Source organism: Homo sapiens, chromosome 12, assembly GCF_000001405.40.
Source record: "Homo sapiens chromosome 12, GRCh38.p14 Primary Assembly".
In the NCBI taxonomy this organism is placed as follows: Eukaryota; Metazoa; Chordata; class Mammalia; order Primates; family Hominidae; genus Homo; species Homo sapiens.
Genome location: NC_000012.12, coordinates 115708573 through 115726311, shown reverse-complemented (window position 1 = coordinate 115726311; position 17739 = coordinate 115708573). Strand labels below are relative to the sequence as shown.

The following is a 17739-nucleotide window of genomic DNA, read 5'->3' as shown; positions in this document are numbered from 1 at the left end:
AGAACTCTATCATGAGAACAGCAGCAAAGGGAGAAATCTGACCCCATGATCCAATGACCTCTCAGCAGTCTCCACCTCCAGGATTAGGGATTACATTTTAACATGAGATTTGGGAGGGGACACAGATCCAAACTATATCACTTGACTTGAGTAACTTCATTATCTCCTATTAATCTCCCATTTTACCCTTATCCTACCTCTCTGTCTGTTTCTTCTCTATCTCTTTGCCTTATCCTCCTCCTTATGTGTGGTCCTGAAAAAAGGAAAAACAGTCATTAAATACATTCAACAGCTGTGAAATAACAGATTGAGCATCCCTAGTTTGAAAACCCAAAATCTGAAATGCTCCAAAATGCAAAGCTTTTTGAGTGGTGACATGATGCTCAAAAGAAATGCTCACTGGAACATCTTGGGTTTTGGAGTTTTGGATTAAAGATGTTGGAGTGGAAAGAGTAATGCAAATATTCCATATTCTGAAAAAAAAAAAACTGATCCAAAACACTTCTGGTCCCAAGCATTTTGAATGAGGGGTATTCAACCTGTATCTGAGGATCTCTAGGCTTAGCCATAGGCCCTCTTCTCTTGCTACCCTATATTCTCTCCCTAGGTGACTTTATCCAGCCCCATGGGTTTAATGCCATCTAAATACTAGTGGTTCTCAAATACGTATCTGTCGTGGTTCTCGAATAAGTATCTGTCTCACAGGCAACTCCTTTGAGCTCCAGGGCATATAACCAGATGTGTTCCAAACATTTTCACTTGGGTATCTCAAAGGCACTGAAAACAAAAAAGTCAGGACTGAAATAAACTCCAAATGCCACCCTCCCAATACAGTAATGTGTCACTTAACAATGGGGATACTTTCCGATAAATGCATTGTTAGGTGATTTTGTCATTGTGTGAACATCATAGAATGTACTAACATAGATGATATTGTGCTCTTTTTGAACAGTTATTTTGGCTGGAAATTATATTTTAATATAGGTGCATATGATATGTTATCTCAGGGTAATATATTTACATTTAATGCATTAATATATAACAGTTTGTTATATTTGTGACATAATTTTCATATGTTACACATATGTTAATGTTTTCCATTTGATTTTGTGAACATAAACCATGTCTACCTTAATGACCATTGTGGTTTCAGTGTCTAGCACATTTTTGCACACATGGTAGGTATTTCAGGTCAGTTGGAGTTTATCAGTCTGGTGACCATGAAAATGTGCCACTCAGATCTCCTGTAATGAGACACTTTGTTGATTGATAGTCCCAGCTGCCTTCCTCCTGGATGCACTACCAGATTTGCAAAGAGTCGATGCTTCCCCAGCCAGTAACTGAGTTATTTAGGGGTGCTGATGCAGGTTCCTTTCCAGAGGATGTGGAACTTCTTTAAGAGGGAACTTTTGGCTTAAGGACTTCTCTCACTGGCCTGGCTAAAAGATTTTTAGAACTAAGCTACAGTCCAAGGTTCTTCCCACCTAATACTCCTTCCTTCACTATCTCTTTCTGTGGGTGTTGGATCTTCATCATGGTCTGATGGCTCTTCCTGCTTATTCCTGCTTCCTCCTCTTCATCTTTCCCAGGTATTACCCCCAGTAAATCTCTTGCAGGTGTAATCTTGTCTTAGCGTCTGCTTTTTAGAGTATCCAAACTAACCCAGGTGTTACCAAGAGGGATCCAAGAAAGCAGAGGGTAAGATTTTGAGGATTTGGGACTGGCCCACTCACAGAGCAACAGGCAAAGAAGACTCCATCCCAAGCGATCCAAGATGTTGTCACTGATAGTCCCTGATGTGAGGTGGAAGCCTAATTGCTGAAGATATAACTGATGGTGACCCAGAAAAATACCCTGTTGGAGGAGAACAAACTTGCAGGTATAGTGGTTCAGATATTTGAAAGACACAGGGGGAAGGAAGCAATGCATTTAAAGACAGTGGAGTTGGCTGGTTATTGCTGAGTTATACTGATGCCTTACAGAGGAATAATGAGAAACTGATGGCCAATATCAAGAAATTAAAGGGTAAGCGTGAGAGCCAAAGAGGCTTTTTTGATACCTTACAAAGATCTTATTACCTGAAATGAGAGAGTGAACACAGCTGAAAAGTAGATTCAGGACCTGATAGTCACAGAGCTCCAGAAAGGTTTAAATGCTTAGCCATGGCTGATCTGTTATAAGATCTGGGTCCCGGGTGGAAAAATATCAGATTCTGACATATGGTATAGGGACATCTAGATGAATTCCCATGAATATTTTGGCTCTCGAGACTTCCATGAACCTCCAGAGCTTGAAGAGTTGGACTATCCCTTCTAGTAAATGCCTGAAATTCTCCCCTAGGAGATGCTGCAGAGATCTTGCCCTTATATCTAGGAACCATCATCTTCTTCCCACAACATTCAAAAGAGGAATGAAGCTGTAAGCTGTGAACAGGAAGAATCCTCATTTCATCTTCTCGGCCACAATAGGGATGTGTGAGGCTCGGATATTCTTGTCACATTTGGTGGATGGTGCGGGGTCTTTGAATGGCAATGACACACTATTGCTAGGGTAACATATGCCACCCTCTTGGGAGCTTCACCCACCTTCTCTTCTGGCTGCCAGGCCAATGCCTAGGGTTAAATGTCAGCACAATCTGGCCGCAAACTTGGTTATGGATGAGTAAACTTCGTATGCAGGTGTAAGCTGGAAATGTGTAGTGCAGCATCACAGCCACATTCAGGGGCTGCTTTGAACGAGAAGTGAATAGGGAAAATATTCCTGATTGGCAGTTGTGACAGGTGAACACTATTATTTATTTTATATAGAAGGAAAAGTGAGTTGAGGTGAGAATATGTATAGATTCCTGGGCAATAGCTAATGGCCTGGCTGCCTGGTCAAGGGCCTGGGAAAATGGCTGAAAGTTCAAAGGCAAGGAGGTCTCGGCTATAAGCATGTGGATAGAACTAAGGGAGTCGGTATAATGTGTGAAGATGTTTGTACACATATAAATACATACGATAGAAAGCATACAAAAGTACTGAAAACACAAGTAGACAAAAAGACTTGGTCAGTTGGCATTCATAGAAACCCAATAAAATGGACTCTTTCTCATGGCTGATCTAGTGCTGCCTCTGAATGTCCAATGGGTGAGCAACAGAGACCAACACTGAGCCCTGTATGGCACTGTTCCTTGAGGAGAAAAGTCAGCAACTTGGTGGAAAGTTGATTATATTAGGCCCTTTTTTATCCTGGAAGGAGCAGCAGTTCATCAGGATAGACACTGAATGCAGGTATGGGTTTGCTTTTCCTGCCCATAGATCTTCAGCCAACACCATTATCTGGGTGCTTGTAGAATGCCCAATCTATACGCATGGAATTCCGTGCAACAGAGCATGTGACTAGTGGACACAAATTTATAACTCTTAGTTGTAAAACATACCGCACACTCTAGAAAAAGCTAGCTTCATAGAGTTCTGAAACAGCCCTCTAAAGATGTAGCTGAAACACCAACTTGGATGCAACACTGTGGATGGATGGGAGCCCCCTTTCAGGATACAGGGTATGCATTAGATCGGAGACCGCTACATGGTGCTGGGTCCTCAACAGAAAAAACTATGTGTCCAGTATCCAGGGAGTGGAAGCAGGAATGGCCTCACTTAGTATCATTCCTAGTGACCTGTTGGGGGTGTTTTGTGTTTCCTGCTCCCTCCACTCTGGGTTCTTCCAGGTTGGAAGTCCTGGTGCCCAAGGGGACACACTTTTAGGGGCAGAACAAATGTCACATTGAACAACAGGCTACAGATGTAGCCAGGGTGCTTTGGATTTCCTAGGTCCAGAAATGAGCCAGTAAGGAATCATCATACCAAGAGGAATTATTGACCCTAATCTGTAGAAGAAGGTAGGGTTTTGTTTACACAATGGGGGCAGGAAACTCAATGTGCAGAGCTCAGGTGTGTGGAACTCAGGCGATCCGCCTGGAGCTTCCTGCTACTCCCTTGCCTCATTATAACTGAAAATGGACATGTACAGCCTCACTGGCTTGAGAGACACCTCAAATGCATATGGAATGAATGAATGAGTGGCCTCAACTTCTGAGAGCACATTGCCCACTTGTGTAATTACCATAAGTGTTAGGGGGAAAACTTTGGTGAAAAGATTTTTCCAGAGTCCCAGGGCTTCTTTATCAGTCACGGAAGGAATTCTCTTTACCAACTCCCCTCTCCCAATCTATAGAGTCCTCATAGAAATGAGACTCCAGAAGCCCGCTCTGCAAAGCCACAGCTCCAAATTTGGGCACACAGATGAAGTATCCTCAAGACCTTACTTTACAGAATCCCAGTTTTAGAGTTAAAAGAGCCTTCATAGGTCATCTAGTCCTAGAGACTAGGTGGGAAAATGAAGAATGGGAAAGACTGGGTGATTTGTCAGAAGTCATTGTTAGGGTTGAAATGCTAGTTGAAAATGCTACTTAGTTTGATTACTGCTAAATAGTGACTCCAGGGTATATAATACTAGTTGTTCTGATCATCATTAATCATTATCATAATTATTGATATTAGAATAGCATATTTATTGAAAGAGTAGCCTGTATCGGGCACTGTGTTAATCGTTCTAACTCATCTAATACTTGCAACAGCCCTATGAGGTATATATGAATCCAATCTCCAGTTTTAGAAGTGGAAACTGAGGCTCAGAGAGGTAAGGCCATTTTCCCAAGCTCACAGTGTTGGCAAGCAGTGGCTGAGCGTGAAAACAAAAGTCTGTCTTGCCAGGTTTGAGATGTCTAACCACTCTGAACAACCTGAAAATTTAAAAAATTTGTAATATTTTAGATACTGTTTTTAAAATTAATCTTAGTAGGAGACAATTACAGACTGCTTCCCCCATTCCACGAGTACAAAAATATCAAAGCACTCATTGCACATTGTAAGAGTAAACAAAATAGTCCCTGAAGCCATCTGGATTGACCAGATGGGCCAATCAATACTCTTTCTTTTTAGTTGGGGAAACTGAGTCTCAGGCCCCGTAAGGCACCCATGGATGTTGTTAGGGTCATCACTCAGGCCTGAGGCGTCTCTGTCAGGGTTTTATTGAGCAAAGCTCCCTGCCGCCATATGCGTTTAAATAATGAACAAGGATCAATACCTGTCTCTGTTCTTCTTGTCCACATTCCCTTGATGATGGCCTAAGAACAAGAGGCCAGATTCACCACGGAACTTCAGCTTGCAGTAACAGCTCATTATATCCTTGCTGTAGCTACATTTTCCCCACTAAGAACCATGAAAGATATTGAAAGGGGCGGCAGGAAAGGTCATAGAGAATTCACCAGGATCTAAATCTTGAATGCTGGTGAGCTCATGTGGCTGAGTTTCCATAAAGAGACACTCATCCATCAACAAATGTTTATTCAATAGTCAACATAAACCCAGCTGGTATATGGTATATCCCAGTAGTTAGTGTTCTGCAAACCCAGGCAGACCTGGGATCACATTTCATTTCTGCCATTTGCTAGCTGGAAGACTTTGTGCAAGTTTCTTTGCTCCTTCCCTCCCACCTTCCTTCTTTCTTTTGTTCCTTGCTAATTTATTCAGGTGAAACACAAAAAGTAAAGTGCATTAATGTTAGGTGATTGTGTGTATGTGTGTGTGTGTGTGTGTGTGTGTGTGTGTGTATGTATGTATGTGTGTGTGTGTCTATATCACCATCAACTAGATTAAGCTATGGTACCCCATAATGTTCCCTCATGTTGCTTCCTAGTGTATATATACCCACAGCAAGAGGTAATCACTACCTTGACTTCTATCTTCTATTGACTAGTTTTGCCTGTCCTTGAAATTCACATAAATGGAATCATGCAGAATATACCCTTTTGTGTCTGGCTTCTTTCACTCAACCTAGTAATTTGTGAGATTCATCCATGTTGTGTGTAGCAATAGTTCATTTCTTATCTTGACATAGTATTTTTGCACGAATACACCACAATCCATTAGCCCATTAATACAATCCATTCTCCTTTTGATAGGTGTTTGTACCATTCTGAGTGGTTAGTTTGAATAAAGAGGCTATAAACATTCTCATTCTCATACGTTTGCAGCATATGCAGTCCTTCTGTTGGGTACATAGCTAGGAGTGGAGTCGATGGGTCATTTTCCTTCTTTTTATTAGAACTTCACTTTTATTTAGAAAATGGTAATCATGATAATACTACTGCCTTCTTAGCATTGCTGTTTGGGGCTACTTTGATTACTCTTACAATGCACAGTGAGTACTTTGATACTGTTGCACTCATGGAGTGACAGAAGCATTCTGTAATTTTCTCCTAGCAAGTTTAATTTGAATGAGGTACATAGTCTAACACACAATAATCACCCAATACTAGCATTCTAGTTGTGTGTTTTCATGGTACAAGCTTAGAGAGTGTGGTCTTGACCTAAGCTCTTTTCAAAAGCCATGCCAACTTCTCATTTCACTGAAGATGACCATGAAGAAGTTGGACTGAGCATGCCAGGCCCCTCCCTGTGTAGGTTCCACATGGGAAGCTTAGGCACAGCACTCACTACCCACCTGCTAAAGTTAAAAGTTCATTCCTCCCATCAATATTTATTCAGGGAACACTTTCTCCTTTGCCATTTGCTTTATTTCATCTCACCAAAGAGAAAGCCAGTACCTCACCACCTTCTGGCAGCCAACATGCCTGCAAACCAAGATCTCCAAAGAAGAGCCCTTTTTTATACCTGCATCCTTTTTTGAAATCTCTGAATTATCTAGATTGGCCAGATGAGCCTCTAAAAGATAAACAAAGCCTGATAGGAAGGACTCTCAAGAAACTTGGAGTGTCCTCATGGCCTCAAGAAGGGGCCAGCCTAAGAGGAGGGCACATGAGAATCTCTGGGCCCTTTCTCCTCTCCAGGCCTGTGCCAGGCCCTTGTATCTACATGAGCAGAAACTTGGGCGGACCCAAAACAGACTGTGGTTGGAGCTAAAAGACAGCCTCAGAGATGCAATAAATCAAGGACAATTGTAAAGGTGCTTTGTATTCTAGGATGTTGAAACATCTCTCTCTCTCTCTCTCTCTTGCTTGCTCGCTCTCGCTCTCTAATGGAACCTTCCCCCAGGCACAATTAACTGTAGGCATAGGATAACATGAAGAACCACTCTCTGACCCATTCCCTTTTCTTCTTCTGCAAATAATGGGATGATGTTTCATCTCCAAAAATAGCCCGTTGGGCTTGGAACACTTTCCTTCCCTTCTTAGGGCTCCATGGGATTATTGGATTATGAAGCAAAGGGTTTTTTTTTTTTGGCTGGCATGGCTGACTGGTATTAGAGAGCTGGAAGCCAATGGTAGCTGAAGTGCATGGAATCTTTCAAGTTTAATAATATTAGACACAAATATATTCAGCACTAAGTTTCAGGCACTGTGCTGGGTGCTTAACTTATGATCTCAAAGAATTCTTATAATGATCTTACTATAAATAGATTCTCCCTTCCTCCCTCATTTATTTTGATATAAGAAAGCAAGGAGGTTAACGCTCAGGGTTGTTCAGTGCTGTAGACTGAATGTCTGTGTTCCCTCCAAATTCATATGTTGGGGTCTTAGCCCCAAATGTGATAGTATTAGGAGGTGGGGCCTTCAGGAGGTGATTAGGTCATGAGGGTAGAGCTCCCATAAATAGGATTAGTGCTCTTCTAGGAGACCCCAGAGAGTTCTCTCGCCAGTTTTTTCTACCATGTGAGGACACAGTGAGAAGATGGCCATTTATGAACCAGAAAGCAGGCCCTCTCGCCAGGCAGCAAATCTGCTGGCATTTTGATTTGGATTTCCCAGCCTCTGGAACGGTGAGAAATAAATTTATGTTGTTTAGAAGCCACCCAGTCTATGGTATTACGTTGTAGAAGCCTCAAGCTGAAACATGCAATTCAAAGGTAGCAGACCCGGGATGAGAATTCCATAGTTCATGTCTTTCATTTGGAAAATATATCATTTGTCAATAGTACTTACTACTGTTGAAGTTTAATTTTGGGATTCCCCTCCCTTCCTAACATTTCTCACTGGTATCTATTTATTGTTCTAAAAATAAATATAATCAGTTTTATTTTGATAATTTTCCCCCCTTTTATCTAACCCAGTGCTTGACAAAATCCAACCTTAGGACTTTGGGTCAAAATAACCTTCAACTGGTGGTCCATAAAATAAAATGATGCTCACCTAGCCTGATCTGTGAGTTCTCTTCCCAGCAGAAGAATCTCCCTCTTTTCCAGCTTGTCTTGAGGGTGATAGCGGACATCTGTTAATTTTTAATTTTTATTTTTTATTGAGATGGGGTCTTGCTGTGTTACCCAGGCTGGAATGCAGTGGCTATTCACAGGTGCAATCCAGTACTGATCAGCACAGGAGGTCTGACCTGCTCCGTTTCCAGCCTGGCTGGTTCACTCCTCCTTAGGAAACCTGGTGGTCCCCCACTCCCAGGAGGTCACCATATTGATGCTGAACTTAGTACAAACACACCATCAGCATAGTGCATGACAACCCGGAACTCCTGGGCTCAAGCAATCCTCCTGCTCATCCTCCTGAGTAGCTGGGACTATAGTTGTGTGGCACGGGGGCCAGGCAACATCTGTTACTGTTATTGGCTGTCCTGCCCTTTGGACTGCCCTTTTCTGCTCCATGTCATTCTGGAGGTGGGACTTTAAATCAGGGGACCCTTTTTCTCCTATTCAACCTTTCTACCCAGAGCATCCCTGTCCCCTTCCAGGTGATGGATTGGTTCAGGGGTGAACATGTGAATCCTTTGCTGAGATCAGGATGGATGGTGGGAAGGAGTGGAGTTATTTCCTTTAGAAATGATGAGCTTCGGCTGGCACAGTGGCTCATGCCTGTAATCTCAGTGCTTTGTGAGTCCAAGGGGGGCAGATCACCAGAGGTCAGGAGTTCGAGACCAGCCTGGCCTACTGGGTGAAACCCTGTCTCTACTAAAAATACAAAAAATTAGCCAGACATGATGACAGGAACCTGTAATCCCAGCCACTAGGGAGACTGAGGCAGGAGAATCGCTTGAACCCGGGAGGTGGAGGTTGCAGTGAGCTGAGACTGTGCCACTGTACTCCAGCCTGGGCAACAGAGCAAGACCCCATCTAAAAAAAATGTTGAGCTTCTCTAGGAATAATGTATGCTTAGTGTTGTTGAGGGCCATCTTTGATTATATGAAAGGGGTGGCAGGAAATGTCATAGAATTCACCAGGATCTAAATCTTGAATGCTGATGAGCTCATATGGCTGAGTTTCCATAAAGAGACACTTATCCATCAACAAATTATTATTATTATTAATTGAGCCCAGAAGAAATATTAAGCAGTTGTGCAGGAAAGAAGATATGAGAGATGGGGTGGGACGGGAGGAAAATCTAATGATTTATTCTAAGGTGAACTTTGGATTCAGCTGTGACTGCCTCAGCTACTTGGGGCACTCATGAACATGTGCCGCTCAGTTCTCTCTGCTGTGAGTAGCAGCCTAGTGGACATCTCCAACAGCTGTAGCTTTAGATCTGCCAGATGTTCACTTTGAAGCCACATTCTCCCTGGGCTGCTCTCAGCCCAGCCAATGACTGAGCATGGTACAGCTTCTAGAGCAGGATTATTTCGCTCCAAAGTGGGACTCATCTAATGGGGTAAGAGGTCTTTGCCCTTGGGCTTCCTATTGGCTTTACTGAGACTTTTTTTTTTTTTTTTTTTTTTTTTTTTAATCTGCGCTATAGTCTGAGGCTTCTTCTTTCCAATCCTCCTTTTGTCCCTGTCTCCTTTCCCAGGTGTCAGACCTGGGTCATAGTCAAAATGCTCTCCCAGCCTCCTCCTGCTTCCTTTATTCTTCACAGGCAACTCCTCCAATAAGTCTCTTGACTGTCTAATTGTATTTTGGCTTCTGCTTCCTGGAGGACCTGAACAGACACACCACCCAAGGCATTCCATGTTTGCTTAATGAATTGGTTATGAATTGACTCTCTGTCATTTTCAACCCAAATAATCTTATAGAAAATGGGATCTGGAAGGTAAAGCTGCTTTAAAAACCATGGTTCCTGTAGAGACATTGGTTATAACTATTATTATTAAGATACTAGTAGCCAGGCGCAGTGGCTCACGCCTGTAATCCCAGCACTTTGGGAGGCCAAGGTGGGTGGATTACGGGGTCAGAAGATTGAGACAATCCTGGCTAACACGGTGAAACTCTGTCTCTACTAAAAATACAAACTATTAGCCGGGCGTGGTGGCGGGTGCCTGTAGTCCCAGCTACTCTGGAGGCTGAGGCGAGAGAATGGCGTGAACCCGGGAGGCGGACTTGCAGTGAGCCAAGATCGTGCCACTGCACTCCAACCTGGGCAACAGAGTGAGACTCCATTATAAAAAAAGATGCTAGCAAGGCTGTGGATAAAAGGGAGACCTTATACGCTGTTGGTGGGAATGTAAATTAGTCCAGCCACTATGGAAAGCAGTCTGGAGATTTCCCATAGAACCTAAAACAGAGCTACCATTTGACCCAGCAATTCCATTACTGGGTATATACCCAAAAGAAAATAAATCATTCTACCAAAAAGACACCTGCGCTCATATGTTTATCGCAGCACTGTTCACAATAATAAAGCCGTGGACTCAACCCAGGTGCCCATCAATGGTAAGTTAGATAAAGAAAATGTGACACACATATACCACAGAATACTACACAGCCATGAAAAGAACAAAATCATGTTCTTTGCAGCAACATGGATGGAGCTAGAGGTCATAATCCTAAGCAAATTAAGTGAGGAATAGAAAACCAAATACCGCATGTTCTCACTTACAAGTGGGAGCTAAACATTGAGCACCCATGGACATAAACATGGGAACAAGAGACATTGCAGACTACTAGATGGATGAGGAAGCTAAGGAGGGGGGCGTTGGTTGAAAAACCATGTATCAGATAGTGTTCTCCCTACCTGGGTGACAGGATCCATACCCCAATCCTCAGCATGATGCAATATTCCCATGTAACAAACCTGCACATGTACAACTTGTATCTAAAATACATGTACCTGGCTCATGCCTGTAATCCTAGCACTTTGGGAGGCTGAGCAGGGTGAATCACTTTAGCTCAGGAGTTTGAGACCAGCCTGGGTAACATGGCAAAACCCTGTTTCTACAAAAAATACAAAAATTAGCCGGTTGTGGTGGCACATACCTGTAGTCCCAGCTGCTTGGGGGGCTGAGGTGGGAGGATCACTTGAATCTGGGAGGTAAAGGCTACAGTGAGCCGAGATTGTGCCACTGCACTCCAACCTGGGTGACAAAGTGAGACCCTGTCTCAAAAATAAAAATAATGAAATACATGTACCCCCTGTATCTAAAAGTTTTTCTTTAAAAAAAGATTGTTCGCTGAGAGTTAAATGACAAGAGATTAGGAGTAACCCTTGAAAATGAACAAGATTTCCAAACTTGAACAAGAAGAGAGGGTGGTGGGATGTCGGGTAAATCTCAATACCAATTTAAGTCTTGTCTGGGACTATCTTTAGGGTTGATGTCTAAATTCAGATCTCTTATTCTGTATCTTTTCTTCAAATCCACCTATCCCAAAGCTTCCTGGACATTGGCACTTGTCTATCTGTCAGGCACTGGGGATCCTACAGGTCTCAAATCTAACTTATTTTTTCCCCACTTCCCGAATTTTCTCTTCCGTAACGTCCCTTAGCGTAAGGAATGTCCCATTGTCAATTCAGTAGATCAGAACAAAAATTCAGGAGTCGTCCTGGACCCCTTTCTCTTCCTGCCTCCTCTGTATTCCATCAAACATAATTCCCCCTTTATGAAGGTCTCATGCCCTCCTTCTCTGTTTCCCTAAGTAAGGCACACAAAGTACCTTAGCCTGTGCCTGGCCTGTGGAAGTTACTTGCAAACATTAAATGTTCATTTCCATTACTTCAAAACCTGGGATCATGTAGACTTTTATAAGTCAATAATCAGCTTTTTAAAATGTATTAAGAGACTGTTTATATTAACTAAACTCAGAAGGTGGTTTATCCTCCTGCTTTCTTCTAGGAAGAGATCCCATTATAACCAGAATAAAAGGAATCGTCCCTGGAGAAAAGTCAACTTGGTGTGCCAAAGCAATGCTTTGTAAAATTTGAAAGCAATTCTAAAACTCGTTGGGTTGGGAGGCTGACAAAAGTTTGCCAACTCTTTTGTTTGCCAAGTTAGGTAACATTTTAAAAATTGCTATCTGCAATTACTATCAGTTTGTAAATGTGGCACTTGATTAAAACTGTGGCTCAAAAGTTTTAGTTCTGAAGTGAAGCTGCTTTCAAAGAAGTAGCATCTACAGAGTATCTTCCCATCTAAAGTCATCTTAGTTTTTAAATGACATAATGACCAATTCTTTTTTTTTTTTTTTTTTTTTTTTTTTTGAGATGCAGTCTAGCTCTGTCCCCCAGGCTGGAGTGCAATGGCACGATCTCGGCTCACTGCAACCTCCGCCTCCTTGTCTCAAGCAGTTCTCCTGCCTCAGCCTCCTGAGTAGCTGGGATTACAGGCATGCACCATCACGCCCAGCTAATTTTTTCTGTATTTTTAGTAGAGACAAGGTTTCACCATATTGGCCAGGCTGATCTCTAACTCCTGACCTTGTGATCCACCCACCTGGGCATCCCAAAGTGCTGAGATTACAGGCGTGAGCCACCACGCCTGGTCCATGACCAATTCTTAAAACCCATTTTCTCCCTTCTTATCTCCCCAAGTTTTTGCACCCAAACTTTCCAAATCTTCTCAACCCCCTTCTGCAGGGCTTTAACTTTCTCCCTCTTCCTTCCCCGTGTGTTTCTAGCTGTTTGCCATGCAGATTGGCTTACCCTCCCACCTTCTCAGTCCTTTCCCCACTTTTCTTTCTGGTGGCAGTGGTCTGTTCCTCCCTTCCTCTGGTTCAGCATCAAGAAAGCTCCTTCCTGCACCCTAGTCCAATTATCTAACAAAGGCAGAACTCGTTCTCTGGATAAAGAAGGAAAGACATTGGGAAAAGTGATCCTTATAGCTGGTAGGGGAAGGAGAAGAAAGACTGGCTGGCATGAATTGCTCTTGTTCCATTGCCAAAGAGAATTTTTAATAACAATAAATATAGAAAGAACAGAATCTTACAATAAAGGTCAGTTTTTTGTATTGAGTACTTTTGTACTGAGTACTATATGAACAACTCAGGACATTTTTCTCTTTTTGTCCATTAGCCATTGACTGATGAAAACTTAGCAGCCTTCTGGTTTATCTTCCCTGATTAGTTTTTGCCTCTTTTTTCCCCTAGGTACATTGAACCTGTAGTTAGCAAAGCCCTGTTAGAGCATCCGGATGATCTTCTCATTGTGTGGGTAGGAAGGAAGGTAGCTCAAACTTCCAGCTCTGTTTCTATCTTCTTGTCACATCATCTACCCGTGTTTGAGCTCCAGGTGGAGTCCTTTGATTACAGGGCAATAAACTCCGTGCTCTGTAAGAACTGTCTAGGAAAATGAGAATTTCACTTCCTTGATGAAGCCATGAGCTTTTCTTTTTTGACACAGAGAGGAAAAAAAATCTAAGAGAAATAAAACAAGAAGCAAGACTGAGGATAGAAGAGAGCTTTTTACTCATACAGGTTGAGCATCCCTAATTCGAAAATCCAAAACCCAGAATGCTCCAAAATCTGAAACTTTTTGAGCACCCACGTTACGCTCCAAGGACATTCTCATTGGAGCATTTTGGGTTTTGGATTTTCAAATTAGGGATGCTGAACTGGTAAGCATAGTACAAATATTCCAAAATCTAAAGAAAATTTCAAAATCCAAAATGCTTCTGGTTCCAAGCATTTCAGATACGGAATACTCAACCTGTACCAGTTTGGGCTTGTCAACTCAAATGAATTACACTGTGAGTTTGTGTGTTCTCCATCACACCAAATGACCCCTTCTTGGGAGATTGCATTTCTAATAAGGTGCATCTCCTTTGTACATCTGACTGTGTTGTAATTTACAGCATGTTTCTTTTACAATAAAAACAAGAGACCTTCATTTTAAATGTTTCAAATGTTTTAATTTCTCCAGAATTAACTTCTTTCTTGTTGGCTCCAGGATAGTGAGCTGCTATTTTGCTTCTAATAAAACTGTATTCAGTGGGAGTGTGTAGAGAATAAGGCTCTTTAGACATCTTGGTTTAATAATATGATTAAGTATTTATTGAGAGTCTAATATATGCTAAACATGGTGTTTGGCCATGGTACTCATGTAATTGCAACTCAAATCTGCTAAGGCAGGAATTATTTTCCATATTTTACAGATGAGGAAACTGAGTGTTAGAGGAGTTTAGGCTCTTGCTTGTGGGTGTTGAGATGGTAAGTGGTAGAGCTAGGTTCAAATCCATGTTTCACTCTAAGACACATGTTCTTCCTGTAGACATCTTTCTGGGTAGCATCTGTTATCTATTGTCTTTAACTGACATCTGGTTTGGCTGAAGCTCAAGCTCAGATAATGCAAAGGGAGCTGTGGATTGGAAGAAAAGCTCACTACTTCAGGGGAAGATGTATGGGGTCACACACTGAGTGTGATGTACTCTTGCTAATGCACCCAATTGCCCAACTTCTAAATTAAACTCTTTCTTGTCTCCAAAATTTAGATTTTGTTCAGCTAAGGACTCCTGGGGTGATATGGTGGTAGAGATGATGGTTGTGGTGGTGATGGTGATGGTCATAGTGTAGTGGGGATGGTGGTGATGGTGGAGATACTATGGTGGTGGTGGGTAGAGATGGTGATGATGATGTTGGTGAGGGAGGTGGAGGTTGTGGAGGAGATGGTGATTCTGATGGTGGTAGAATTAGTAAAGTAGTGGTGGTGGGGTGATAGTGATTGTGGCGATGGTTATGGTGATGGTGGAAAGTGGTGTGGAGTAATGGTGGTGGAGATCATAGTAATGGTGGAATTGGTGTTGGTGATAATGGTAGAGATCTCATGGTGATGGTGGCGATAATGATGGTGGCCGAAGTTCGTTTGTGGGGTTAATATACCCCAGAAACTTGATTTGATCAGTGTAAACAAGTTGATGAGAATCTGGGCAAGTGATAACATCTCCACCACATTTCCATAAGACTGAGGTAGCAACCAGACTCTAATTGGGTAATTGATGGTGCATAATTATTCTTTCTTATCACAAACTTAAGTCTGCTATTTTGGCTTTCCCAATCCTGAGACAAGGAAGCCAAATTAGACACAAGGTTTGTTCAGAGAATATGGAAGGAAAGAAAAGCAAGAATGATCCCTAATAAGCATTTGTACACTCCCATCCTAGGGGGAGACTTACTTACATCCAACCTTACTTTACGTCATCTGTCTTTGTAGGTGCAATCAGACATCTAATCTTTCTAATCTGACAAATTTGGCATGAGAGAAATTTCAAACTCATGACTTATCTGAGGCTTAATTTTCTCAATAGACAAATAATGCTGAGTTTTCCAAATTAATATAAGGATCTAATAAGATAATGTACATAGACTATTCAGTACAGTTCTGGGCCCAAAATATTTATTTTGGAATTGGGATCAGATCTATAAAATGTCATCAAATTAATCCTTACAAGAAACCCCCAAAGAATCCCCATTTTAATGCTATGCAAACTGAGCTATAGCTCATTTAACAGGGGAGTTAAGTAACTTTTAATAGTAGGTAACACTTATTGGTCACATACAGGTGCTATGTACTTCGCTAAACATCACCTCATTTAATCCTGACATCAACCGCATGAGGTAGTACCCTTATTCTCCCCATTTTACAGATGAGAAAACTGAGGCACAGAGAGGTTGCATAACTTGCTCACATGGTAAGAGGAAGATGCAGGATTTTGCACTCAGGTTACTTACTCCAGAATCTACTTGCTTAACTGGGAATTGGAATGGTGGTGAGTCATTGGTCACATGGGGGTGGTGCTGGTTGGGGATCTGAGCAGAAGCTCATACAGATGCAGCTACCGCCTCAGCAGTGTATCTTTCCCTTGCCAGTATTTGCAGCTGATTCACCAGGATTTTCATGCTTCCCAAGGTTGCCTTGACTATGTATATGAGAGGAGTATCCGGGGCCAAGCCCAGCTGCTTTGGCAAGGATGTTTATAGAAGAAACATCTCCTCCACACCCAGGAGGATGTGCTCTTTACACTCTTTGGGCTCCAAGATCCTGGCTCCAAAAGTATCAGCCATGCAAAAAAGAAAAAAAAATTGTACTTGCTCTCTTCAGGGGAAGAAAAAGGCAAAAAAAAAAAAGCAAGAACAAACCTCTCCCATCCATCTGTAACCAAATATATTTTGTGCTTGGTTTCCTTGGGTGGCCTTCTCTTAATGGTTTCTAATTCATAGAGACAAAAAACATAAAACAATTTAAGGCATTGGCACGCTCAGCTCGGCAACCCAGTGTATTCCCGAGGGAGTGCTTTTGGCAGCGACCTCCTGAAGTTGGCCTAGCTAGGAGGCTCGGAGGCTCACAAGAACAGAGGAAGGTTTTTTTTTTTTCTTTCTTTTTTTTCTTGTGCTGTTCCCTGCTTGCTGAGAGATATGCAAGGGAAGTGGGTTGGCTGGGTAATTATCTGGCTGGTAATTACAGCCAGTTGTGGAGGAATACTGCATATTCCGAACGGTCGCCATGCTAGCTGGGAAGAACCCTCACCGAGCAATGGATTTATGGCTGGCCATGCAGAGCAGGATGTATGTTTTGGCTCATGCACTAGGGAGAGCTCGGCCTCTCCCTCTTTCTTTGCCTCTCTCACTCTCTTTAATCTCAACTTCAGAAGGGAAGGAGTTGGTCGTTAATTCATCTGGATTTTGAAATTGGGCTTTTTCATGTGAAAGAGGCAAGGGCTGTGAGGATTTTGTTCATTCTGTCTCTGGTGTCACATCTACTGTATTCAGTTAATATTTACTAAGTGAAACAAATTGGTTTACAAAGAGCATTGATATAATATCAACCGATATTTACAGAACATTTTCCAAATGCCAAAGCCCCATTATAAATAGCTTCCGTGTACTGTGAAGTGGATTCCCATTTTTATCTCTACTTTAAAGATGAGGGGACTGAAGCTCAAAGAGGTGAATAACTTACCTAAGGTTACACAGCTAGAAAGTCAGAGCAGGTATTCAAATCTGGGCAGCCAACCACAATACTATATTATGGATGGATAAGTGGAAGGCTAGATATTGGCATGACAGATGAAAGACTTTCAGAGAAAGTTAACCCCATCCCATTTATTTTTAGTGGATAAGAGAAGCACATGGCTGGATTCCAGGTTTAAGCAGTGAATTTGTAGCAGAGCCAGAGTTTTTGACACTTTGGCCAGCGCTTCTGCCTCTCTCTCTGTTGCCTCATTTTCTCCATGTCAGAGAAGTTTCTAAGTCCTAGAAAAGCTGCACGTTCATACTCATAAACTCTCCCTCACCAGGCCTAGGTGCATTGAGGGAATCAGAGCTGGAACCATCATCTTGACCCCAAGGAAAGTTAACCATCATCCTGGTGTACCTAGGACTGACGGGTTTCCCAGGATGAAAGACTTTCAAGACTAAAGGTCTTGGAATGAATCAGTCACTCTATCCAGATGTGACTTGGTAAACTCTTCTATAGAGAGCCTGTTTAAACCTGTGTTCAATAAGCCTTTTAGGAATGTCATCCAATGTAGGGCTGAGGACCTGCGCTTCAGCATCGGACAGACCTGGTGTGGAATCTCACCAGCACCACTTCCTTATCAG

At 42.3% G+C, this 17739-nt stretch overlaps 1 long non-coding RNA gene and 1 pseudogene across 2 annotated transcripts in view, besides 1 other annotated feature; one reads left to right on the top strand and one right to left on the bottom strand.

Moving 5' to 3' along the window:
* LOC105370003 (uncharacterized) overlaps positions 1–17739 on the top strand; it is a 389555-nt gene that overhangs the window by 36754 nt on the left and 335062 nt on the right. The window lies entirely within an intron of this gene.
* On the bottom strand, positions 8299–8587 carry RN7SL865P (RNA, 7SL, cytoplasmic 865, pseudogene; annotated as a pseudogene).
* Positions 15814–16108: an enhancer, noted in NCBI's record as "tiled region #9136; K562 Activating non-DNase unmatched - State 24:Quies". NCBI's record gives its function as "activates a minimal TATA promoter and a strong SV40 promoter by Sharpr-MPRA in K562 cells {active_cell/tissue: K562}" and the evidence as "EXISTENCE:reporter gene assay evidence [ECO:0000049][PMID:27701403]".